The following is a 27,836-nucleotide window of genomic DNA, read 5'->3' on the forward strand; positions in this document are numbered from 1 at the left end:
AACGAAGAGGACACTGGGGCATTTAACTGCCAGTGCCCAGCAGTCGTAGTTGAGTCCTGCTGATGAAACAGAAAACCTGCAACCTGCCCTGTTTGCAGGCAGAACAGACAGTTAAATATATCAGCCAAGGAACAGCAGGGGCTGGTAGCTGAAGTTTGGACAGTCGAGCCCGTAAATGGTAGGGAACGGATTTGTCACAACATCAACTTTGCACGTATTATATGATACTTTTTTTTATTATACTTTAAGTTTTAGGGTACATGTGCACGATGTGCAGGTTTGTTACATATGTATACATGTGCCATGTTGGTGTGCTGCACCCATTAACTCGTCATTTAGCATTAGGTATATCTCCTAATGCTATCCCTCCCCCCTCCCCCCACCCCACAACAGGCCCCGGTGTGTGATGTTCCCCACCCTGTGTCCATGTGTTCTCATTGTTCAATTCCCACCTATGAGTGAGAACATGCGGTGTTTGGTTTTTTGACCTTGCGATAATTTGCTTAGAATGATGGTTTCCAGCTTCATCCAGGACCCTACAAAGAACATGAACTCATCATTTTTTATGGCTGCATAGTATTCCATGGTGTATATGTGCCACATTTTCTTCATCCAGTCTATCACTGTTGGACATTTGGGTTGGTTCCAAGTCTTTGCTATTGTGAATAGTGCCGCAATAAACATACGTGTGCATGTGTCTTTATAGCAGCATGATTTATAATCCTTTGGATATATACCCAGTAATGGGATGTCTGGGTCAAATGGTATTTCTAGTTCTAGATCCCTGAGGAATCACCACACTGACTTCCACAATGGTTGAACTAGTTTACAGTCCCACCAACAGTGTAAAAGTGTTCCTATTTCTCCACATCCTGTCCAGCACCTGTTGTTCCCTGACTTTTTAACGGTCGCCATTCTAACTGGTGTGAGATGGTATCTCATTGTGGTTTTGATTTGCATTTCTCTGATGGCCAGTGATGATGAGCACTTTTTCATGTGTCTTTTGGATGCATAAATGTCTTCTTTTGAGAAGTGTCTGTTCATATCCTTTGCCCACTTGTTGATGGGGTTGCTTGTTTTTTTCTTCTAAATTTGTTTGAGTTCTTTGTAGATTCTGTTAGCCCTTTGTCAGATGAGTAGATTGCAAAAATTTTCTCCCATTCTATAGGTTGCCTGTTCACTCTGATGGTAGTTTCTTTTGCTGTGCAGAAGCTCTTTAGTTTAATTAGATCCCATTTGTCAATTTTGGCTTTTGTTGCCATTGCTTTTGGTGTTCTAGAGATGAAGTCCTTGCCCATGCCTATGTCCTGAATGGTATTGCCTAGGTTTTCTTCTAGGGTTTTTGTGGTTCTGTGCAGTCTGTAGTATTACCAATGCTAATTATAAATGAAGAAACTGAGGTTCAGAGAAGTTACTTAATTCACTTAAGGCCACACAGCTAGTAAGCAGAGGAAGTGAATTCCAAACCCAGGATTTCATCTGACTTCCACGCTTCGACTCTTGACCTCTCATTAATACGTTGTTTACTTGGCAACTGGTCAGTTTGGAAAGTTGGCTTTCTCTGGGGAATATCATGGGGCTAATTGGGAGATGCTTTCAATCACAATATGTTAATAATCTACAATAATTCAAAAAAGTGTAATAGAACTGTGGAATCCCTGAAGTAAAACATGATAAACCTCCACTTCTTTCTCTCTCTTTGCAGTGTTCTTAAGTATTTGTTCCAGTGTGTAGATGTTCCCGTTATGTTTTTCTGTATGCATATGTATATGGGAAATATTGAAGTGGGACATAACAAATATATATTAACTTTGGGACATTTTTATTATTAGGGGCTAGGCTTAAGGCATCTCATCACCTGTTTCTAGGGTGTTAATGAATGTTGTGGGTGAAATAAATTCTCTTTAGCTTGCACAAGCTGGATTGGAACTCCACACTGGATTTCAGGGAAAACATGGCTTTTAAGGAAAAGAAAGAATTCAAATAAGGATAGAATATAGGACTCTGAAAGGTACAGAGGAGAAGGAATGTCATTCCAGGTAATAAAATTTGGTATGAGGATATTTGTGGAAGTAGAACTCTGCAAAGTGCATTCTGAGGATATGAACAAAACAATTTCATAGAATGGAATTTATGAGACATATGGGACTCAAGGTCATAACGCTATATTGAGGCCAGATTGCAGGGGCTCTTGAATGCCAGGCTTAGAAGTTTGAATTTTACCTCATCCTTTTGGACCTAGAGAAGACCTTTGCTTCCATAAATAAAAGGACAGCATTTACTTCCTAGCCATCATTACAGCAGAATTATTGCTTCTGCTATGCCAACCCTAATATTGCCTTTTTGGTTTGTTTTTCTTTATTTCATGATAAAATAAACTAGTTCACTGCAAGCAATTTTCTACAATAGCCAAACTGTAAAATAAAAGTCCTACGTAAATTCACCCCAAAAATGTCAGTTTAGTGTACCTTCCACATATATATACACGTGTATCTCTCATACACACAGACAGTCTCAATCAGCAAGCTGCTCCTTTGTAATTCCAAATTTATTCACTTGATATAACATTAATATATTTATGTACCAAGATGTATCAGTCTAACTCAACATGTTTATGTGTATGTATATTGGTAAAAATAGTTATAAACTACCAAAATCATCCATAATCTTACCATGGCTAGAAATAAATATTTATATTTATGAAAGTAGCTAAAGATTCCCCTGAACCCATTCCATTCCATTTGTATAAGGTAAATCTCTGTACCTTTCTTGACACATTAATATGTATCTTTCCTTTTCTTAAATAAGTATATATATATACACACACACACACACACACACACGCATATTTGTGTATTTTAATAAAAATGTAATCATTTCATACCTATAAAACTGCCTCTTGCTTTTTCTTATTGAATGCTTATGGAAGACATGTACTTTATTCCTCCTAATAGATCAATAATATGAATTCACTCAGCCACTTTTCCTATTGTTGCAAATAAGTTTTTTTCCTTAGTGTGGTTTCTAGCCACGTTTATTTTTATGGATTTGTAACATATGTTTCAGCTGTGAATATTATGTGGAAACACTTCCACTTGCTGTCCAAACCTCTAATCCAAATTGTGACTCCAAACACAACTCTCTGGACCGTGTTCCATCTGACCAAATCCTCAAGCAAGTTCTGTAGCCCAACACTCATTTGTTTAGTTGCCAACCACATTATTTTTAAATTAAGTTCCTAGTATGTGCCAGAAACTGTGCATGCTGCTAAAGAGTTAAGTATATCTAAGATCTAATCCCTGCTCTCAACGATTTTGGCAACAGCAAGTTGAGAACATAATGAACTTTACGGCAAAGTTTCAAATGCTTTCATAAAAAATTTAGTTTTGTCCCTAACACAAGCTTGACTCATTTTTGTTCCTGTGATTCAGACGTATTTCTGGTATCTGGAGGACTGCGGGTGGGTGTGCACATCATATATGTTCGTATGGTTAACAAACTCAGGAGTTTTTTTGTGAAAAAAAAAATGAATTATCCTAAAAGAGACCTACAAGGAGTATCATGACTGGTTTAAGGCAAATAAGTAATGATCTGATTGGAGGATAAATCTAAAGATCAGAAAATTTGAGCCTATGCAGTGTTGAGCACCAAGACTCTGAGGTCACAAAGCTATTGCTTCCACTACTCCACTACTTTTCTCCACTCCACTAATTTTCAGCTATGGGATTTTTGACATGGTGTTTATCTTCTCAGTGCCTTAGTTTTTTCATTTCTAAACTTATGATTTTAAAGATCGAAGTTTTGTAAAGCTTAAATGAGATAATGCATGCTAAAGACTAATCATAGTGTCCAAGGAATTATGAAGAATAATGATGTAGCTGTACTAATCAGCTCAATGAATTAAATAGACAAGTTCAATACTTTTAGCCATTATTTTATTAGTAATTATTTGTCTCCCATTATCTTGTGGGATCATATGTGATTTTTTACCACAAATGCCTTTGTTAACTTGTTTTGCTAAATTTTTTTACTTTTAATTTTATGGGTGTATTAGTCCATTCTCCTGCTGCTAATAAGGAGATACCCGAGACTGGGTAATTTATAAAGGAAAGAGGTTTAATTGACTCACAGTTCAGCATGGCTGGGGAGGCCTCAGGAAGTTACAATCATGGTGGAAGGGGAAGCAAACATGTTCCTCTTCACATGGCAGCATCAAGGAGAAGAATGTGTGTCCAACGAAGGGGGAAGCCCCTTATAAAACCATCACTTCTCAAGACAACTAACTCACTATCACAAGAACAGGATGGGCGAAACCTCCCTCATGATTCAATCATCTGCTCCCGGTTCCTCCCATGAGAGGTTGGGATTATGGGAACTACAATTCAAGATGAGATTTGGAGGGGGACACAGCCAAACCATATCAATGGGTATAAGGTAGGTGTATGTATAAATATATAATATATAAAAATATATACACCTACTATATATATTATCTCTGTATAATCTATATTAACATGTAATATATAATTATATATACCTACTATATACTCATAAAATTAAAAGTAAAAAAAATTAACAAGCAAACAAATGTGAGGTAAAAATCAAGTATGATCCAATAAGATAATGGTAGAAAAATAAATACTAATACTAACAAAATAATAACAGTAAAAGTAAAAAAGAAAAATTTAATTAAAAATAAAAGTAAAAAATAATATCTTGTGATGGAGTACCCAAGATATTTTGATACAGGCACACAATGTGTCACATCAGAGTAAATGAACTGTCCATTACCTCAACCATTTATCCTTTCTTTGTGTTACAAACATTCCAATTATACTCTTTTAGTTATTTTAAAATGTCAAATGGGTATTTTTAAATAAGCAAGTAGACATTAAAAGAATTGGATTACGATAATTTCCAGGGACGCTCAGAATGTAGTCTCAGATAAAATCTGTACGGTTAATGTGCTTCATTTCTTGGCAATTGTGTCAGGGGTCCCCATAAATACTGCTAGGTTTAATGATACACTAGGAACACTCATAGAAATCAGTATATAATTATGTTCATGGCTATGACTTATTCTAGCAACAGAATACAAAGCAAAATCAGCAAAGAGAAAAGTCACCTTTTCTTGCACCTGGGGTGAAATTCAGAGAAAACTAGACTCAAGCTTCCAACAGACTTCTCATGGTGTACTCACACAAGACACACTTAATACCTCAAGCAACAAGTTGTCACAATGCATGTAAAACATCATCTACCAGAGGAATGCATTACAACCTCAGTGCCTGAAGTGTCTATTGGTAGCTGGTCATGTAAAAACCCTCAGCCTCAGATGTATCAGTATTGCAGACTCTCAGAAAGAAAGCAAGTATTCAGCATAAACCATAATGTTTGTACGGTTTAGGCACAGGGAGCTACATTTATCAGTTCCTAGAATGGTGGGAAATTGAAGTTACCACATGCCACCCGAGGGCCAACCTGGCAAGGGAGTCTTTCTAAGAATAGCAGTATCACTTAGGCTATGTTAATGATTTTCTACATAGCAACGAAAAAGGAAATTTTTACAGGGAAGGTGCAATTGCATTTCACAGGAAGTCACGGTGGAGGTAGGAATGCCTGCAACAGTAGCGGTGCTATATGATACGTAATATTTGCATTTACAATAAAGTTATGTGAAAAACGTATTGTGTTTCACTGCCATGAGGTTGTTTCCACACTGAGGAGTTAGCACTCTGTCCAAACACTGGTGTTTCCAGCCTTGAGCATTTTAAATCCCCATTGCAAAAGTTTTTTCATGCAATGAAAAGTTGGAAGTTGTGCAGGCATTTTTCCTACGCTTCTCTTTCCCTTTTTGGCTTCTGAGGCTGACAGCTTCAACCCAGGAATCATTAGTAGAGATTGCATTTAGGCACCTAAGCAGTGGCAGTAATGTCTTTTATAGACATTTACTCTCTTCAGAGACTAAGTCACATTTAGGCGTGATCTAGACTAAATGTTTGTGTCACACTCAATATTTCTATGTTGAAATATTTACTCCCAGTGTGATGGTATTTGGAGATACTTTAGGTTAGGTTAAGTTGTGAGAGTGGAGCCCTAATGAATGGGATTAGTGCCCTTATAAAAGAGATCCCCGAGTGCCACATTGCCCCTCTGACCATATGAAGACACAGCCAGAAGATGGCTGTCTATGAATAAGAAAGCAGGCCCTCATCAGACACCAGATCTGCCAGCATCTTGATCTTGGACTTCCCAGCCTCCAGATATGTGATGGATGTTTGTTGCTTAAGCCACCCAGTCTGTGGTGATTTGTTGTAGTAGGCTGAACTACTAAGACATATAGAGTAGAAACACAAGAAAATATGGCAGCCAAGAATAAATTCGAGATCAACATGAACCAACTCATTGGAAACTCTATGATCAGGTAAATGACACCTGAGAAGGACTGGAGTTCCTGTTTACCTGATGACACCCATTTTTACATAGTATTCCGTTTCCCCAGGCTTTCTGCATTCATTCAATGAAATTATATTTAGTATGTGTATCAGGCAAACACTTTTCTAAGAATTGGGAATCAAGCAGTGAATCAGAGAGAAAAACGCCCTGCCTTCATGGAGTGTAATTCTGGTAAATACAGATCTTAAACTTGTTCCAAGTTTGCTAAATAGATCTCATATGGCTTCATTTAAATCACATAAAATTCTCAGCAGAACATAGCTAAAGTTAACACTGAACTTTTTTCTCCATTTATGATGAAAGCGCTATGACACCACCTTGAAATCAAATAAATATATTATCCAGCTCTCATTTCACCATGTTTATTCCATTATGAAATATTTATTTACTCTCTATAAAAAAGACAACTAAGAAATTTGGCAACACTTGGCTCTTAACTCATGTTAGTTCTCATTGATCATTAATTTCATGCATTGTGAGTCAACCCATATAATAGATATCTTCACATACCTGTATGAGAGATCTTATGTATCCTAAGTGTTCAAATACAACATTAATTTAATTGCCTCCGTTAGACAGTGACAAAAATCTGTAATTTCCTCTCTAAAAAATGAGGACACATTCCTGATTTTTTCCTCTCTAAAAAATCAGGACACGTTCTCACCTTTATAGTTCCTGGCACTTTTTCCTTCTTCCAGGATTTCTCAGTGTACAATGATGGCTGCTCAGTTATCAAATCGGCAGATTCTGTCAGCAGTCTGAGATGTAACCCCTGACTATGCTGAATACATTAATGTATGAGTGCAGCCTTCTTCAGAGTATTCAGAGCTATCAACCTCAATGGCACTCCCTATCATGGGCTTCCAGTGAATTTAATCAGCAATGTCTCCTTAATAACTCTGTTTCATCCTAAAATGATTTTTTTTTTTTTTTTTTTTTTTTTTTTTTTTTAGATGGAGTCTGGCTCTGTCATCCAGGCTGGAGTGCACTGATGCGATCTGGCTCACTGCATCCTCCATCCTCCTCCCTGATTCAAGCGATTCTCCTGCCTCAGCCTCCAGAGTAGCTGGGATTACAGGCACGTGCCACTATGCTCGGCTAATTTTTTGTATGTTTAGTAGAGACAGAGTTTCACCGTGTTAGCCAGGTTGGTCTCCATCTCCTGACCTCGTGATCCATCCGCCTCGGCTCCCAAAGTGCTGGGATTACAGGCTTGAGCCACCGCGTCTGGCCCAAAAGTGATTTTTTAAAATCACTCTAGGGTGGTCCTTGTAAGGCTCTAACTCTCCATGATGACCGTGTAGTTTGGTTTGACCTAATACCTGTTGCTGGGGAGACAAGACCAGACTAGGAAAGTGTACTTTGTATGTGACAAGCTGAATAGGTTGTTGACAGATTTTTACAAGGACGCTGTCAAACATAATTGGAAACATTGTGGCAGAGCTGTTGATTCTTGGGAAATGACACCTGCAAAGAGGTTACTTGTCAATCTCAAGCCACGTGGTTCTGCTATAGTAAGAGAAAACAAAACTTCCTGTGGGGAAAAAATGGCAGAGCTTTTAAAGGGAGAAGGCTGTGGGAAGCCACGGTCATTTTGAGGACAATTGCTGCAGGCACATGGAACAGGAAGAACACAAGGTTATGTATCCATCATATTTATAGACACATAGACATTACCATAGCTGCCATTTTTTGATTAGTTCGATGAGTATTTAGCAACTGACTTTCAAATGACATACAACACACACACATAGAGACACAAGTCTTTGGTGTATGATTTTGGATTGCAATTAGAACAATTTCACAGTATACTGAAAGATTCTAGACTGCAGAGAAGACCTGAGCTATTTCCCTGGCTTTTCCACTTACAGGCAGAGGAATTTTGGACAAGTCATTTCACCTCTTTGCATGTCAGTTTCCTCAGCTATAAATGAGGACATTGGATGCAGTATTTAAAACTCCCCCTTTTTCCCGGTCCTAATATTTATTGAGTAAATATTTCTAGATATAATGTAAAAATATACAAATCTAAATTATGAGATATCACATACATCTTTTCCATGCTTACAATCCCTTTTCAAGTAAGTAATGGTCATGAAAGTTTCTGTGGTTCAGAAAAAAAAAAGGAAGAGAAAGAGAGAAACTCGAAATTTGAAAATTATTGTTACTGTGAAATTACCTGGTTCTCAATAAGAACGTCATCAATATTTAATACCTATTTGTTTATGTTAGGTGATCTTGAGGCCAGTAGGAGATGTTAAATGGTAAAACAAAACAACATGTTGAAAAGTTTATAAATGTGGGTTGTGTTAAATACAGACTGGAATCTGCTTTAATTGTGGATTCACTAACAATGTTTAAAGAATTCTGAGGCTCCTCGAAGTAAAATTAGCAAATAATGTGATCAAAACGTGGAACTCTCAGGGGATAAATTATCATTAATGGGTTGATACACATAAGATGGCAAATTGAGCCTACTTTCTTATCTCATTACTCAATAAATAGCAGTCAAAATATAAGTTTGCTATATCATTTAATTTTAATAATAATAATATTACTAGAAACCACCCCCAAGCCTGTGCATCTCTTATTCTTGGCAAATCTTGGGACATTGGGTTCATGGACACTTTTTCATGCTAGCAGGCCCATCACTCCATTTCATATTTTCCAATTATGGTCATTGATTTCCAGCCATAGATGTTTATATAACCGTACTTAGTAATATGTTGAAGATCCTTTTAAAAGGGCATATTTTTGATTCCCTAATTTGTTAATTGTGTCTAATTTGTTAATATGAGCATTTAAGATGACAAAGTTCACTATTTGCTTAGAAATAGCTGCACTCAAGGCCACAACCCTAGTTCTATACCAACCATGTCTGCATTATAGAAGACTGTTTAAGCAAGCCCACAAATCACATGACATTCTGTTCTCTCCTCCCTGGAGATGGGGATTGAAAGTAAAAGATGGAGATTGGAAAGACAAGGGAAGGAGATGAAAAAGGTAGGCTTAGAAGTGTACTTCGGGCCTATCTCCATGAAAGAGTTTATGACCAAATCTATGATCAGATTAGAGGTCACTGAAGTTTCACACAAAGGAATTTTCAACTCAAATCTCCATGGCATAGTACTTAATGTAAGCTGATTTTATTTGTTTTATATAATGAAAACAAAAACAAAAGTACCTACTCTTTTTATTTCCCTTTTGTGAACATCTATAAGTTTACCCAACGACCATTAAAAACATGATTATTAGTTATACCAATTGCCCAGTATATGAAAATGCACCTGAAAACATTTATTCTGATACGAGAATTAGTAGAAAGTCCAGGCTTAGGTATGCTGTACAGTTTCTTAATCACTTTTCAGAAGGGCAACTTGCCCTCAATGCCATCTTCTAAAACAAACGGAAACAGATAATTCAAGGACCAAAACAAAACTGAGACACATGCAGATTATATTTAATGGAGATAAAATAATGTTGTACAGGTTTTGTAAATTGTTGTTTGCTTTTTTATTGATACATAATAGTTGTGCATATTTATGGAATCTATGTGATATTTTGAGACATGCATATAATGTGTAATGATCAAATTCAGACAATTAGGATACCCATCACTCCAAATAGTTACAATTTATTTGTGTTGGTAACATTTCAAACTTCTCTTCTAGCTTTGATGAAATGTACAATAAATTACTGTTAACTATGGTCAACCTACCATGCTAGCTAACACTTGAACTTTTTGCCTTCTATCTAACTGTGTGTTTGTACCCATTACCCAACCTCTCTTCACCACCTCTCACCCTTTCTACTCTCTGATACCCATAATTCCACTCTCTACCTTCACTACATGAACTTTTTTAGCTCTCATATATAAGTGAGAACATGTGATATTTGTCTTTCTATACCTGGCTTATTTCACTTAACATAATGGCTTCCTGTTCCACACATGTTGCTGCAAATAACAGGTACTTATTCTTTATCATATTCTGATATCGTTTGGCTGTGTCCCCACCCAAATCTCATCTTGAATTGTAGCTGTCATAATCCCCACATGTCATGGGAGGGATCAGGTGGGAGGTAATTGAAACATGAGGGCACATTTTCCCAGGCTGTTCTCGTGATATTGAACATGTTTCATTAAATCTGATGATTTTATAAAGGGCAGTTCTGCACACACTCTCTTGCCTGCTGCCATGTAAGATGTGCCTTTGCTTCTCCTTCACCTCCCGCCATGATTGTGAGGCCTCCCTAGCCATGTGGAACTATGAGTCCATTAAACCTCTTTTTCTTTACAAATTACCCAGTCTTGGGTATTTATTCATGGCAGTATGAAAATGGACAAATACATATTCCATTATATATATACACACCCCATTTTCTTTATCCACTCATCTGTCGATGGACTCTTAGGTTGATTACATATTTTGCCTACTATTAATAAAGCACTACTATTAATAGTGCTTTAATGAATATGGTAATGCAGATATCTATTCTATATACCGATTTCATTTCTTTTGTCTATATATCCACCAGGAGGGTTACTGGATTACATGGTAAATTTACTTTTAGTTTTTTTTTTTTGAGAAAGTTTCATACTGTTTTCTATAGTGGCTGTACCAATTCACATTCCCACTAGTAGTGTACTTGCATTCCCCTTTCTCCAAAGGCTCACCAGCATCCTTTTAAAAATCTTTTTGATAATAGCCATTTTAACTGGGGTGAGAAAATATCTCATTGTGGTTTTAATATGCATTCCTCTGATGATCAGTGATACTGAATATTTTTTAATATGCCCATTGTCCATTTGTACGTCTTTCCAGATCATTTGCCCATTTTTAATTGGATTATTTGTTTTCATGCTACTGAGTTGAGTTCCTTATATATTTTTGTTATTAATCTTTCAGCAGATGGATAAATCTGCAAATATTAAAACTTCCATTATATAGATTGATTGTTTCGTCATTCTATTGACTGTTTTTATTCTGTGAAGAAACATTTTAGCTTAATGTAATCCCATTGGTCTATTTTACTTTTGTTATCTGTGCTTTTGGGGTCTTATCCAAAAATTTTTTGCCAAGACCAATGTCCTAAAGCATTTTTCCAATGTTTTCTTCTGGTAGTTTTATACTTTCAGGTATTACATTTAAGTTTTTAATCCATTTTGATTTGATTTTTATATATGGTGAGATATAAGGGTCTAGTTTTCTTTTTTTGCATATGGATATCAAGTTTCTGCAGTATCATTTATTGAAGAGACTGTCCTTTCTCCCACTGAATGTTCTTGAGGCCTTTGCAAAAATCAGTTAGCTGTAAGCACATGGATTTATTTCTAAGTTCTCTATTTTGTTCCATTGGCCTATGTGTCTGTTTTTATGCCAGTAACATGTTGTTTTCTTTCTATAGCTTTGTAGTATATTTTGAAGTCAGGTACTGTTATGCCTCCAACTTTGTTCCTTTTTGCTCAACATTGCTTTGGCTATTCTAGACTTCCTGTTACCATATTAATTTTAGGCTTTTTTATAAAGAATGACATTGGTATATGACACTGCAAGATTGCATTGAATCTGTAGATTAGTTTTGGTAGTACAGTAATTTTCACAAAATTAATTCTTCCAGTCCAGGGACATAGGATATCTTTCATTTTTTGTAATCTTTTTATTTCCTCAGTGTTTTATAGTTCTACTTGTAGAGGTCTTTCACCTCCTTGTTTAAATTTATTCTTAGGTATTTTCTTTGTAGATCCTGCAAATGGCATTGCTTTTTGGATTTCCTTCAATGAATTTGCTGTTGGCATACTACAATGCTGTTGATTTTTGTGTGTCAATTGAACAAACACACTTTGTGTGTCAATGAATAAACACTGTTATAAAGACTATAAATTGCTAGTTTTCTGAGAAGGCAATTTGAGAGTATTTATTAAAATTTTAAAAATGCACATACTTATCAAGGTAAAAAATGTAACTGCAGATATGTGTTCTAGAGAAATATTTATGCATGCACTTAAAGGGGAAAAGGTACAAGCATGTAAACTGCAGCATTTTTAACAAAAAAAATTATTTTCACAGTAGAAACTTCAAAAAAAACTATTCAATTCAAAAATGATTAAACAAATTATAAACATCCACAATAAAGACTCTATTAGGTCAGAACCAACTTCTAAGCTTAGTAGACACAGTGCCTAAAGCTGACACAAATGTTCTAAGTTTAATCTTTCAAAATCAACTAAAACAGTGAATATAATAATTATTATAGCAATTATTATATGATTAGTTCATCCTTAATTATACTCATTTATACCAAAAAGTAATAAAGAATATTATTAGTATCTTAAGAGGCTTATGAAGAAAAAAATTGCTAATGTCCATGAAAGTCATATCTCATTTCTGTATTTAGATGTTAAAAGCAATCATATATATTTATACATAAGCTGCAATGTTACGATTTCCAACATAACCAGTTACATTCAAATGGCAAAAATTTTGAACCATATGAATAGTATTCCACAAATTATTATTATTATCCCTCAAAAGAGAGTATCTATAAAATATGTAAGTGTATAAAGTATCTGGAAGAATGCACATCTAGCTTCAAACGGGGACTACTTTTACCAAGAGTACTAACTCCTTTTGTTCTGAGGGTATGTGTGAAGAGATCTTTTACTTTTGGCTTTATATTCTTAGATATGTGTGGATTTATTTTACAATATGGATATAGGTTTGAAATATAATACATTTTTATTTAAAATGTACCATTTTGGTTACTAGTATTGCATCACAGATCAAGTCAGACTTAGTGGCTTTATCTGAAATTTCTTAATTACAGTCTCACATTCTGAAGGACAGCCACATGGACATTACACAATGCTTGTCTCTGCGTCATAACATATGGGACCTCTACTTGGATGAATTAAAGACTAACCATAATGTGATGATTGGGGGTTGAGATCATTTTAAGGTTCTTTCCCTGACAGGTCCGGTGCCTGGGATGGAATGAATCAAGGGCTAGAACTGCTTACTCTCATGCATACATGCAAAATCACCACGTAGCTTAATTTTCTCAGCATAGCAGTTCCACGGCAGTTAGACTGCCTTCATGAAGGGACTGAAGTATGAGTTTTCCAATAAGTGAAGCAAAATCTGCATCACCTTTTGGATCACATCTTGCAAATGGAAGAATGTCATTTCTGCCATACTCAAAGCAATCACAAGGCCTTTTTTCTTTCCTCATTTTGAGGGGAGAAGTTGCAAATTCACACTATAAATAAATACGTGCAATACAGTTATAGATATCTTTTGAAGATACAACTCTCTCCAATTTGACTTCTAGTCCCAACAATTTACATCCCTTCAACTTAGAAAATACATTCGCCCTCCCCAACACTTCCAAGTTTTCTACTATTATGGAATCAGATGGAAGTTTAAGATTTCATTATCAAAACCAGGTCCATGTTCAGATGAAGCCCCTTTTGTACGACAACTCTAGTGCAGTTTCTATCAATTTAAAAATCTGTAAACTAAAGAGACAGGAGACTATATACCTCCCAACTCTCTCTCTCTCTCTCTCTCTCACACACACACACACACACACACACACACACACACACACAATTCAATAGTGGGACAGGCACGTGACAACCACTGTAGTCATTTTCATTCAAAGGCACACAAAATAGAAGACACCAGATAATAACAATTTCTAAAATGCAAGCAAGCACACATCATCAGTTCTTGATTAGAATTCCATGCTACTCCTTTTTAATTGTTACCCTTGACTCTTGGCTCTGCACTCTGTGGTCGTGCCCCAACCTTCCAAATCAATCAGTTTTCTACATTTTTAGATAGGATGCATGTTTGTAACTAAGTGTCCCTCTCAGCCAACTTTCTGCCTATTAAAATCTGGTTTCTCAAAAGTCTATTTTCTCTTTATACTATCTGTTCCTTTCAGTCCTTTTCTCTTAAAAACTTTCTAGAGCCAGGTGTGGCAGCTCATGCCTGTAATCTCACTACTTTGGGAGGTCAAGGCAGAAGGATCACTTAAAGCCTAGCTTGGGCAACATAATGAGATGGAGATCATGTCTCCACAAATATATATATATATATATATATATATGTGTGTGTGTGTGTGTGTGTGTATATATATATATATATATAAATATATATATATACACACACAGAGACACACATACACATATATTTAAATGGCATGCCACGTTGGCACATACCTGTAGTCCTAGTTACTCAAAGGCTGAGGCAGGAGGATCTCTTGAGCCCAGGAATTCAAGGCTGCAATGAGCTATATTGGCACTGCCCCTGCATTGCAGCCTGGGCAATGAGCTCTACTGGTACCGCCCCTGCACTGCTGTCTGTGCAAGAGAGCAAGACCCTGTCTCCAAATAAATTAGTTTAGTAAATAAATAAAATTAGTCAAATTAGTAAAAATTAGTAAATAAATGAAAATAAAACTTTTTGGGTTTCTTGTATATTGATTTATAATTTATTCCATTAGACTAAGCATACTTCTACAAATTTTCTCTGGATTAGGTTTCTGGGAGGCTCTTCAGATTCTCAGAAGCCCTATAGTTTAAGAGAGATGGTCTGTAAAGCACAATGTTGAGATCCTTAGAAGGCCTCAGTCTATTTTAAAGGTTCTACGAGGTACCACCTAATATAGTTCTAAAGTATTACAAAGGATTTCTGCAATAATAACCTTGGCTTTATATTTATTCTGCAAGTACTCTGTGTTTTATTTTTGCCCAGTGGCTCTTTATCACATGATTTTGCATTTTTGTTTTTTGTTCTTTGTTTTTAATAACCCAACAAATCCTGGCTCCTTTATAATTCCTATAAATTTTAGTTGCTTTAAAACCCGACAATTTCTTGTTGGCTCACTTCTCTCTATCCATATGTTAGCTAAAATACATCAAATAATCATCTTATTTCATATTCCATATTGGAAGTTTTCTCAGTCAAATCCACTAGTTAATTAAAATTATTTTCTATTTTACACATCATCACAGGGAAGACTCCACCAAAACTTGTTGCTACTGCACTTCAAGAATTACCTTGTTTTCAGCCTCCTGTAACAATTTCCTCCCTAGCACTCCAGTGTTCTCTGATATTCTCCTCAAGGCCCTTCAAGATTCAGCCCACTGTTTGGGCCACAGTTAATGCCACATGATTTAGGTTTTTGTTACAGCAGCATCACAATTTTGGTGTCAAGTTTTATTCTGATTCTTCACTCCATAACAAACTGGCCCAAAACGTGTCAGCTTACTGCAAACATTTAATTATGTTCCTGGATTTTAGAGGTTGGGAATTCATAATGTACCTCAGGGCATAGTTTGTCTACACTACATTACTTGATGTTGGGGACTATGGCTGAAAGACTCAAAAGCTAGGGGGAAACTTGAGCCTGGAAAGAATACCATCGAAAGGGTTGTTCACTCACATGGCTGGTGCCTGGCCTGGGAAGATCAAAGACTAATCCTGCTGTTCAGAGCCCCAACGTTTGCCTACTATGTAGCTTGGCTTCCTCACAGTTTAACAGTTGCAGCATATTTAAAGTGTGTGTGTTCCAAGCACAGGTATTTCAGTGAAAAAGGCAAAGGTGCATCACCTTTCATGAGGCAGCCTGAGAAGTTATACAGCATCATATCTGGCATTCTCTATCTGTTAAAGGATTTGGAAGCACACTCTCATTTAAGGGAAGAAGCAGAGGCTTCATCCTTCCATGAAAGGAGGGCCAAAGTCACATTGTAGAGGAAGATGCAAAATAGGAAATGTTGTGACTGTTTTTGGAAATACAACCTGCCATGTCAGAATCACCACATTAGAAGTATTAATATTAATATCTAGAAATAATTGAAAGTTTTTGAAAATCCACAGGAAATCTTGTAGAAAGAAACCAACCATTTATTTATTTTTAAAAATCACAAATTATATCAAAACATAATTAAGTCTCCCATTATATTTTGTGTGAAGAGTTTAATTGGTTATAAAGCAATCGCTTATGGAATGTATTCTGTATGAAAAAGTATTTGATTGACTCGGCTACCTCCTGCTCATACTAATTAACTTTGTTTCAGTGTCATCTCTAGGAAACTTTCTGACTCCCTCCTCATCCCTGCTTACTCCATCAGGGGTGTCCTTTATTATGCTCCCAGGGCATACCACACTGATATCTATTTTAGCATGGAACATTTGGAGTGTTTAATCACAAACCACCCACCCTGTCTCTCTCCCTCACTCTATCAGCTAGCTGAGAACTAGATTTTGCTCCCTGTTCATTGAATACCTAGTGTTTGTTTACAAAGTGCTTAGAATACAAGCAGACAATTTTCTTCCTTAGGAAAGACAAAGAAAAATAATAATAATAGCAATAATATTTTACATTTATACATTCTTGAAGTTTACACACATATGATCTAATTTGCTAATTACATGTTGGGGATTTCTATTTTTACTAGTAAGTAAACTGATGCCTGGAAAGCTTTCGTAGCCTGCTCAGTATCATCAGACAGGTTTGTAGCTGAGCTTAAAATAAACTGAAGGATTCCTCAGTTTTACTCAAGTCATCTTTCCATCACCCCTTTCTACCACTGTGAACAATTTAGTAATGATGACTTGTCATGAATCTACCTAACAGACTTTGATACAACTTTGATTGTGCCATATTATGTTTTGAATAAAGCAGTATTAATAGATTTACCTTGAAAAAACTATATATAGAATGTCAAGATAAATAGATGTCACTCTTAATTTCTCCCAATTTATAGTAGCTAAATCCCATATAGAAATAAGAACGTCGTATTAGGATTCCATAAAGACTGAAGTTTCGTAGGAAAAACTCTAAACTTACAAAACTGAAAATAAGATTATTTACTTGCATTTTTTCAAACAAGACATATTTGTTCTTATGACATGCCTCACACATCTTAATATTTCATATTTAAGTATGCACGTGGAAAATATTCACAGATACATAATTTATCCAAATATTTTAACCAAATATTTGTTCACTTATTTTAAGTTCCATTGTTTAGACAGTTTTGTGAGAAATTAAATGAATGCTTTCAAGATCATGGGTTGTTTCTTAGTATACTAGTAATTATAATTACATAAAAACCCAGAAATCGGAGGAGCAGCATTATGATTTTGTGTTTTTATGTTTTTCCCTTTTCTAGGTCCATTCTTCCTAAATGTTAATCAAGGAAGCAAAGGACATCTTGGAGGGAAGGAAAGAGCAAGTCACTGTTTTCTGTGATTCAGCTACTCTCTGTATTTTTTAAAGCTGTTTGAATATGACAGCGTTTCAACCTTTCAGAACATTCATTTTTCTCTTCTGAAAAATGGGCTAAGAGGACCCATCACTTAGATTTTTCATGGAGGAGGGTGACAGATGGAATTGTGTCCCTTTAAAATTCATATGCTGAGTCCTCATCCCCAGCATGTGTGTCATGAATATACCTCAGCATGTGACTACATTTAGATATAAGGTCTTTAAAGAATTAATTAAGGTAAAATGAGATCATTATGGCAAGCCGTAATCCAATATGACTGGTGCCCTTATAATAAGAGGAAATTAGGACAAAGACAGAAAAAAACTAAGGAGTGAAGATGCACAGGCACAGGGAGAAGACTGACATCCACAGCGCAGGGAGAGAGGTCTCAGAAGAAATCAACAATTCTGGTCTCCAAAACTGTGAGACAACAAATTTCTGTTGTTTAAGCCATCCAGTCTGTGCATAACTTTGTTATGGCAGTCCTAGCGAACTAATGCAAGGAGATTATGATTTATCCTAAATTTAGGATTAAATGGATAATGGCACAATCTGCAATGTAGAAGGTAGATTTTCTCTCATTCCTTTTCTTACTCAGTTTTCCTGCTCTTGAAATCTCAGGAACAGAAAACCTGCAGATATCTTGTTCAGATTCCAATGCCAAGTTTTCTTCATCTTTTTAAGGTCACAACTTTTTTTTCCTTATAATGTTTCTTAAATTAAAACCTATCCATTTCAAGCCGCCCTTGGATCTTTCTGTCCTCACAACATTAGTGTTTGCCTGTGTGAGATTGCCAGTGAAATTGATGCATGTTTCTTACGTTAATAGGCATATTTACCTCTTAGTGAGTGTGCATTTATCCTCTAAATGTTAATAGGTCTTATGCATCTCTCTTTCCAGGGAGACTGTATCCTCACACGAATACAGATGCACAAGGAAGAAAAAGCATCCTTTGTGCTGGCCACTCCACATAGCTTTCTCATCTTCAGTGCATCCAAACAGGCATTTCCAAAAGCCAGGTGGCTCATGCTGCCTCACAACAGAAGCTTTTGCTTTCCAACAGTCTCATTTGAGTAATGGGCTAATAGAAAACCAAGTTATGGATCTCCAGGACCAGAACAATAATAAGGCCATAATGAGATTGTTATCAATCTGGCCTCAGTTCTGGTTTCTTCTCTCAGAGGAACATCATGATGAAAATAGGAAAACTCATCAATCATAAAAATCACACAAGAGCCAAGCCAACTGGCTTAAATATACACACAACATTGCAGGTGAGACTGAATTTCACCGCTGGGAAGCAGTTTCTCTTTGAAAAATCAGAGTGACACACTAACTGATGGTTAACACATTAACTGATGTTCCTGCCCCTTTCTGAGTAGGTCCTGGGAAGTATGAAGTTAAGCAACTTTCCCAAGGCCACACAGATAACAAGACGTAAAACCAAGGATAAGAACTCATTTCTGAAATAGAGCTCATGTTGCCTCTCTGGCTCTTTTACTGTAAGCTTTAGGTGTTTAGCAACTCATATGTTATAAACAAACAAACAAGCAAAAAACAATAAAATAAAGAACAAAGAACAATAAAGGAAATGTATAAGTCGAACAGTGAAATAACCCAACCAGTAAGGCAGCTCTAGTTAACTGAGAAGCCCTTGACTTTTCAACATCATTTCACCCCTTATTACTATGTAATTGATAACAATAGACAATAATGATTATGCAGGCTGAAGAGTAAGAGTAGGCAAAGACATCAAATTTCCAAGGTATACATGCCTCCTCACGTACTCATTTCCTATGGATGTACACTCTATCACTAACAGTGTTTTTGTTGCTTTTTTTTTCTTTTTCCCCAAACTCTTAGATTTATTCCACTCTGTTAAGCTTCCTGAATCACAGAGAAGTTGTCAGAAAGATTTTAGCCTCCGCTATAGGAAGTCCTGCCCACCTTCTCCAGATCTCTGTTCTCATAGTCCATCCTCTGGTTCCAGGTAAGCCAGGACTTTGGAGTTTTTACCAAGACAAAGGGTCTGACGCCTGTATTCCCAGCTACTCGGGAGGCTGAGGCAGGAAAATGGCGTGAACCCAGGAGGCAGAGCTTGCAGTGAGCCGAGATAGCGTCGCCGCACTCCAGCCTGGGCAAAGAGCGAGACTCCGTCTCAAAAAAAAAAAAAAAAAAAAAAGGCTCTCACCACATACTTGAGAGGTAAAGTGAAAGGAATGTGAAGAACCATTGTTAAAATCCTCTTATATTTACATTTCTTTACTCTTCCTACTAAAAGCTTCAACTCTCAGGGAGGTAACCTAAGGACATGTTTTGATTTCTCAATTTTCTCTTCAGCACTGATAAAGCTCCTTCTCATTCACAGGAAAGTAAGAATGAGGGTAGAACATGTAGAAATATGTAGAAACAAGGGTAGAAGCAAGCCAGCTTTGCTTATTTATATCATTTTTTTGCCATCCCAGGTTTATTATACAGGAATAACACCACAAACCAGGAAAACTTCGGAAGATTTCTGATAAAAAAAATAATTAACTTGATTAGAACCTCTTTAGACAGTGGACTCATAGTCGAATCACTTCCAAAATAAATAGGTCAAATGGAATCTCTCTTAACATCACTACCAGTAAAAACAAATCACGCTGATAAAGTGTTTGACATGGCCAATTTGGGAAAAAAACTGATACATCTATATGTAATTTTTGAAACAATTTATAGCTCATGCAATTATCTCAGATCTGAAATTTCTATTAAACAGATATTTATTGAATGCCTCCTGCCATGTCAGGCAAAATTCTGTCTGCTGAGGACACAGCTATAAGCAAAATTCTTGTCTTCTCATGGTTTATTTGGAAAAGTTAGAAAACAGTAAAATAAGGAAGAAAAATATAGAATGTTGTAGATTTTTTAAAAATTCAGAGAAGGAGAATAGGAACAACCAGGCTGATGGTACATGTTCTTGCAACTGTAATTAGAGCAGGCAAAGGAATTCTCACCCATAAAGTGATATTTAAATAAATCCTTGAAAGAGTGAGAGATATGTCACGTTGGTATCTGAGCCAAGAGTGTTTAAGACAGAGGGCACCACAGAGCTAAATCCCTGGAAGAGTGAGTTCTTAGTATCCTCAAGAACTAGCCAAAGGGTAAGTATGGTTGCAGGGTAGAAGAAAGGATAAAATACCAGGACATGAGACAAAGTTGAACAGAGGATGCTGTGAGATCATTGAAGTCTTCGTAAATTGATTGTTAGGATTTGGTTGTCATTTTGGGCAGAAGAGTGGCATGATATCACTTACATTCGAAATCATCACTCTGCTTCTGTGTTAAAAATAGATTACAGAGGCCGGGTGCGGTGGCTCATGCCTCTAATCCCAGCATTTTGGAAGGCTGAGGTGGGTGGATCACGAGGTCAGGAGTTCAAGACCATCCTGGCCAACAGGGTGAAACCCCGTCTCTACTAAAAATAGAAAAATTAGCTGGGTGTGGTGACAAGCATCCGTAGTCCCAGCTGCTCAGGCGGCTAAGGCAGGAGAATTGCTTGAACCCGGGAGGCGGAGGTTGCATTGAACCGAGATCACACCACTGCACTCCAGCCTGGGCAATAGCGCGAGACTCTGTCTGAAAAAAAAAAAAAAAAAAAAAAAAAAAAGATTACAGAGGGCAAAACTGACAGAAGGAAGACCAGTTAAAACATTACTTTTACCCAGGCAGGAAGTGATGATGGTTTGAAAAAGGATAGCAGTGGTGTTGGCAAAAATTGGTGGTATTTTAAATTTATTTTGAAGGCTGCACCAGCAAGCTTCTCTGACAGATTGAATGTGAGATACAAACGAAAAAAGAAGAGCTAATGGTGTTGCCAAGTTTGTAATCAGCTACAAGAATGAAGTTTCCACTTACTGAGATGGGAAGACTTAAGGGAGGCAGGCTTGTTGAGGGAGGGGATGGATGAAGAAACAAATGCTCTTAAAAATTGTTCTGAGTCAACATATCTACGGTTAAGAACAGTTTGATGAAAACGGGTTGGAGTTAGTTAAAGAAAATTATTCTTGGCATATGTTAAAGTTCTCAAGAAAGCATTCTTGGAAAAAAACATGTTTAAACTGAGGTCTAAGGGATAAACAGGAGTTGTGAAACTGAAGGGTGGGGATGGAGAAAGGGTTCTATGGAAAAGCCTAGTAAAGACCCAGGAACAGGATAAACCACAGCACATCAAAGTGCGATCTGCTGTAGCACTTGCTTTGAATAGGTGAATCTGTTCCAAAGCAATTGATTAAATTAGAGGTAATTTGAGTATTGGACGAAGGCCTCAAAGAAGAGATTCAGAATTCGGTGCTTCAATCCAGAGTCTCATTCAAGAAGAAAAAACTTTTTGGGAAACTCCCAAGCTTTCTTACCCATTTCATATTCTACACAACTACCTTTCCCTTCTTTGTAGAGTGCAACCGAATATTTTTATTCTGTAGACCTATTACATTAGCAAGTCTGTGTGCAGTAAACAGTTTCATGTGAGTCCAGACATGAAAGGATGGAGAAATCACTCCAATAAGAAATGCAATTGAATGGCCAAAACGAGGGTGTTGTGATGGCTAATTTTATGTGTCAACTTGACTGAGCAAAAGGATGCGCAGGTAGCTGAAAAAAAAAAAAACTATTTATGAATGTGTCCGGCAGGGTATTTCTCAGAGATTAGCACTGAACTGGTAGCCTGAGTAAAAAGGATTACCCTTCTCAATGTGAATGGGCATCAACCAACTCATTGAAAGTCAAAATAGAACGACAAGGTGGAAGATGAGTAAATTTTCTCTCTTCTTGAAATGAGACAACCATCATCTTATACCTTCAGACACTGACATTCCTGGCTCTTGGACCTTCACACTCAGACTGCAACTTAGACCATTGACTTCCCTGGTTCTCAGGCCTTTAGACGTGGACTAGAACTTCATAACCATCTCTCATGTGCCTCCAGCTTTCAGAGAGCTGATAGTGGGACTTCTCAGTTTCCATAGCCATGTGAACCAACTCCTTATAATAAATCCCTTCCCTCCCTCCCTCCCTCCCTCCCTCCCTCCTTTCTTTCTTTTTCTTTCTTTTCTTTATTTCTTTCTTTCCATCTACCTATTTGTCTATCTATCTATCTATCTGTCTATCTATCTATCTATCTATCTATCTATCTATCTATCTATCTATCTGTTCATGTATCTTTCTATCTCCCATTGGTTCTGTTTCTTTGCAGAACATTCACTAATAAAGGTGTGGTCCTCCAGAGAGATGAGTACATCTTGAATATATTATTTCTGTTATTCTCACAATAATTCTAGGAAATGCGTAGAGCCTAATTTCTTCTGCTGTAACACTTTATTATGTGTTGATTATCCTCAGGTAAGTTAATTACTAGTAAGGATAATGAAAAACCTGAAACTAGCAGTTAAGTGGGTGGGAGCAGTTCAAGCATAATGTAAATTATAAATGTTTTCCTTTTCTTCAATTTTTGAAGATCTAAAACAGCTATCACCTTGCCATCCACCTAATACCTGAAAGATTAAGAATTAATGCAAAGAAAAAAATCATCAAACCAAATGCAACTTATTCCCAGAGTGCTAAAGGACATTATTTTAGTGATTCCGGAATAAAACTTGGCAGAAAGTTATTCCTTTGATGTGTTTGCTTGATTTATTATGAAGCCTATGATACTAGGCCTTAAATGTTTCAAACAGAATTGAGCATATACAAATAACTATCTTTTCAGGTGGAAGAATTCTAAAATCACACAAGAAAATGTAAGGTAAGTTTGTAACTATTCTTATTTTACAGCTGAGGAAAGTGAAGCTCATAAAACATAAAGAACTGAGCTAACATCATCCAGGTGTTAAATTAAAACTAGAACATCAATTCATTCTCTTGTATTTTTAGCACTGCATTAATATACCTTATTAAGCAGGTGTGATGTTGAAATGTTAAATCAATTATGCCAGACTATATAGACCACGACGATATGGGTCACAAGTGTTTTGTCACTATTCTATCCCAAACTCAAAGCAGTGTTGAGTACACAATAAGTCCTAAATAAATATTGGCTGAATTGATGAAAAAAATGATATTATTAATAGGTCACCTTGTTAGGGACACAGTCTGTATCTTAGAAGTTATCAAAATTGCCTCTAAGTTATGAACGCATTTAGGACATTGCTTTTTAAGTGGTAGCATTTTGAGAACAGGACAATTTGAACTTGTGCGGGAAATGTGTGCATGTGTGTTTGTGCATGTGTATGTGTGTGTGCACATATGCATGAAAATGAAGGGCTGGTAGTATTGAAGAACCAGAAGGAAGGTCTAGGGATCATGAAAAATATCCCAAAAGACAACTAAATGTAAGTAATGTATCATTTCTAGAATTTGGTTTTAAAATTACTTTGGAAATCTTGCTCTCCAGAGAGGTCATATGCATTTGAGAGCAGATAATATTGGGGCAGATGTGACCTTTAGAGATCACTTAGTAAAGGGATCAGCAAACTATGAACCATGGACCAAATTGGTCCACTGTTTTGTGAATAAAGTATTATTGGAAGATAGCCGTGTTCACTGGCTTACATATTTTCTATGGCTGTTCTCACATTTAATGGGTAGAACTGAGCAGTTGCAACAAATAACAAAGCCTAAAACATTTACATTAAAAATGTTTTCTGACACCTGATTTAATCTACATTCTTCATTTTACAGTCAAAGAAGCTGAGATCTCAATGGATGACAAGATCAGCTCAAAGTTACAAACACAGACTTAGAGGCAGGGCTGAACCGCCATTTCTTAGCATCTCCCTTTATCATCATCCTATTTTAAAGAGTAACACTGACTCGCAAACAATTTAGTTTTACTTTATTACAAAATTCACTGTTTCTATTTCCTATACATATGGTTTACCTTGTCTATGCAAACCGGCATCTTCCAGCTGCTTTATAACATCTGCTACATAAGAATACCTTGGACCAGTAAACCCCCAGGGGAAACTGCAACATCACTAATGGGCTTATAAAAGCTGAGTTGAAAACTGACACAAGATCATACAAAATTTTGTAGAAAATTGATTTGAAAAAGAATGAGGTTTCAGCAATAACTCAATGGCCAATTGTATTAAGATACCAGCTGTATATTCGCCTTTGATGGGCCCTCCATAAATATTAACAATGCTCAATTTTGGGATACAGAGAAAGACAAGGTAATGGGTCAGAATCCCTCAGTTCCCATTTGGAATGTATGGTGGATATTTCAATAGTGATAAGGGTGCCGACATGATATAGGAACTATCTCTCCCTTACAGAAATGGAGAATGGGAATTGACCTCAGGAATGAAGTCTAATGAGGCCAAGATGACAAAAGAGCTCCTACTGACCCTCTGTGTGAAATGCACAAATCAGGACAGTATGCAGAATTGCAAATGAGTTGAAAAAAAAGCCAAAGAAGGAATTAACCATCAAAATAGAAAAGAATCAAAGAAGGCAATTAAAAATTGGTATTAGTAGAAGGAACCAAAGTTGGAGTTTATGGGTGAAGGAGAAAAAGGAAATCAGAGCTTGTGGTTCTGAACTTCATGGCAGGTTCAGGTGCCTGTCCCAGCAGCATATCTGTGCTGACTGGCTTCACATAAAGAGCTAGTGGGGAACCAGCCAAGCAGATAAAATAAGCACATTCGTTCATTGGAGAATGATTCACAGAGTTGTTTTCAGTTGTTGTTGTTGTTTTTGGTTTTGGTTTTTTTTTTTTTTTTTAGTCAGAGTCTTACTCTGTTGCCCAGGCTGGAGTGCAGTGGCACGATCTCGGTTCACTGCAAACTCCACCTCCCGGGTTCAAATGATTCTCCTGCCTCAGCCTCCTGAGTCACTGGGATTACAGGCTCCCGCCACCACGCTCGGCTAATTTTTGTATTTTTAGTAGAGACGGGGTTTCACCATGTTGGTCAGGCTGGTCTCGAACTCCTGACCTCATGATCTGCCCACATCTGCCTTCCAAAGTGCTGGTATTACAGGCATGAGCCACCGTGCCCAGCCAATCCACAGAGATTTTAATTAATTAACAAATCAATGAATAACTCCACAAGTGACGATTCCTGCTACCTAATGTCAGACCTATGTGAGTCTTTTGACAGTCCAGCATTGCCTTCATTGGAGAAATGACTCTTTCCCAAATCATGTCAATTTGCTATCAAGCTACTTCCCCAACAACAGGATGGGCTGCTGACCCAGGTTAGCTATAAATAACAATCAGGGTTATTAGTTGCAAACATATGAACCAATTCTTTCTAATTTAGCAAAAATGACAACAAACCTTGAATTTCTTGTGAGGTGGCACAAATTATCTGTGAGAATGTCACAGTCATTCATGCAAGAGAATGCATGGCCAGAAACAAAGTCTGAAGATACTGATGAAGGTACATGGACATTTGTGGTGTCAACCAGTACCCTTGCTGTATTCTTCATAGCACCTACTTCCTCCCTTTGCTCTATTCTGAATGAATCTTACATGGATGAGTCTGAGAGGTGAAATGTAATACTCATGTCTATTCCCTGGATGCTAGAAGAGGGCATTTTAGGCTAACATCATGCGGACATGGAATTCGTTATATGGGTAATTCCCTAAACATAACTAGGGTACAAGAAATGATAGTCATTCATTATTTTATCCAAAGAGAGAACCCTATTTCTTAGAGGGACCTAGCATTTGATCCAAGTAGAATCTTATGGGTTAGACAGAGTCAATAAGACTCCTTCTTGGAGGAGAATGTATAGATGTTCAAAGATACTGGTTAGAAACTGTCACTGAGACTCCTTTTTTAGGGGAAGGGGCATAGATGTTCAAAGATAGCAGATTATTCAAAGATAGTGGATCTTTGGCCCTGCTCCATCATGTGGCAGGAGTACCAAAAGTTGAAACACACAGAGAAAAATGAAGCTAAGAGATATTGTAAAAGGCAGGGATGTGACTGCATCACAAACACCTGCATTCAGTTGCAGCTGAAGCCACACAATCCTGAACTGTACAATTTCCCTAACTGGTTTTCTTATTATCTTAATTAAACTAATTCACATACATCAAACAGCCTAATAGAACGTCTATTCTCTAAATTTGTGTGCTTACTGAGTAAAATCCTAGGATAGGAGACTCCAACAGAAATTTCAGGAAAGAAAATCAGAATGTTTTGCTGTACCTCTTACACATGAAGACTTCAAGCAGAGGGTAAACAAGATAAACAGGACACTTACTCTTTTCCTTCCTTGCACAGATAGTGCATCACTTCCTTTCTAACAATTCTTCAGGAGTTTTAAAGTTGATGGGACAGAACTCCTTGTCCGGTACATGTTTTCCAGTGAGTGTGGTTATGGAACAGACACACATACACATCAACATATGGATGGTTTTCTCTGTGTGCCTAAGACAAGGTGCCATGCAGGCTCAAAAGCAATGTGCCTGTGTTATCTCTCTCACTCTTTCTTCCTGTCTACATGTTGGTGCTCTCGTATCTTCCATTTCTATACAGAGGATGAGGCTGATGCTACCATTTTTGTTTACATGGAGAGAAAGAAGGAGAAAGAAGCGCACACACACACACACACACACACACACACAAACAGAGAGAGAGAGAAGAAAAGAAAAGAAAAGAAAGGAGACACTCAGAGGCTTTCAGCCTAAGGCACTTCCTTTAGCCCAATTCACCAGTTGACCCAAAACTCTGCATTAGATTTTAGGCAAAAGCTCTCTGATAATTTTAAAGTCTAAATTCCTTGTGGTTTCCTCTCCTCCCTTTGCAGATATCTTCCTCGAATATCAACAGAGAAGAACAGCAGCCACGTGGATAAGGCAGAGTTTGGGAAATCCTGGATTCCCTTATCATAAAGCATCTTACAGTAACCTCAGAAATGCAGAAGTTACTTGTAATGGTGCTGTAGACACTGTACGAGAAAGTTTCACCTTTATGATCTAATTTAATTCTCACAAAAACCCTGTTAGGTAGGGTGTTATTATTTAAATTTAAATCAGAGGAAAATGTAACAGGAATTCTGCAACTTACAGTCAAAGAGATAATAAACAGGAGCATCTGTGGTTTGAAA

At 36.9% G+C, this 27,836-nt stretch overlaps 1 long non-coding RNA gene across 1 annotated transcript, besides 1 other annotated feature; it reads left to right on the forward strand.

Moving 5' to 3' along the window:
* Positions 1–27,836, forward strand: LINC02270 (long intergenic non-protein coding RNA 2270). The gene is made up of 4 exons (NR_125910.1): positions 1–178; positions 19,602–19,728; positions 23,485–23,520; positions 27,537–27,836. It is a non-coding gene; the product is annotated as a long intergenic non-protein coding RNA 2270 (long non-coding RNA).
* Positions 19,716–20,299: an enhancer, noted in NCBI's record as "NANOG hESC enhancer chr4:12244790-12245373 (GRCh37/hg19 assembly coordinates)". NCBI's record gives its function as "activates a minimal SCP1, AML or CMV promoter by ChIP-STARR-seq in primed H9 embryonic stem cells {active_cell/tissue: H9 hESC(primed)}" and the evidence as "EXISTENCE:reporter gene assay evidence [ECO:0000049][PMID:30033119]".

This window comes from Homo sapiens, chromosome 4 (assembly GCF_000001405.40).
Source record: "Homo sapiens chromosome 4, GRCh38.p14 Primary Assembly".
NCBI classification, from domain to species: domain Eukaryota; kingdom Metazoa; phylum Chordata; class Mammalia; order Primates; family Hominidae; genus Homo; species Homo sapiens.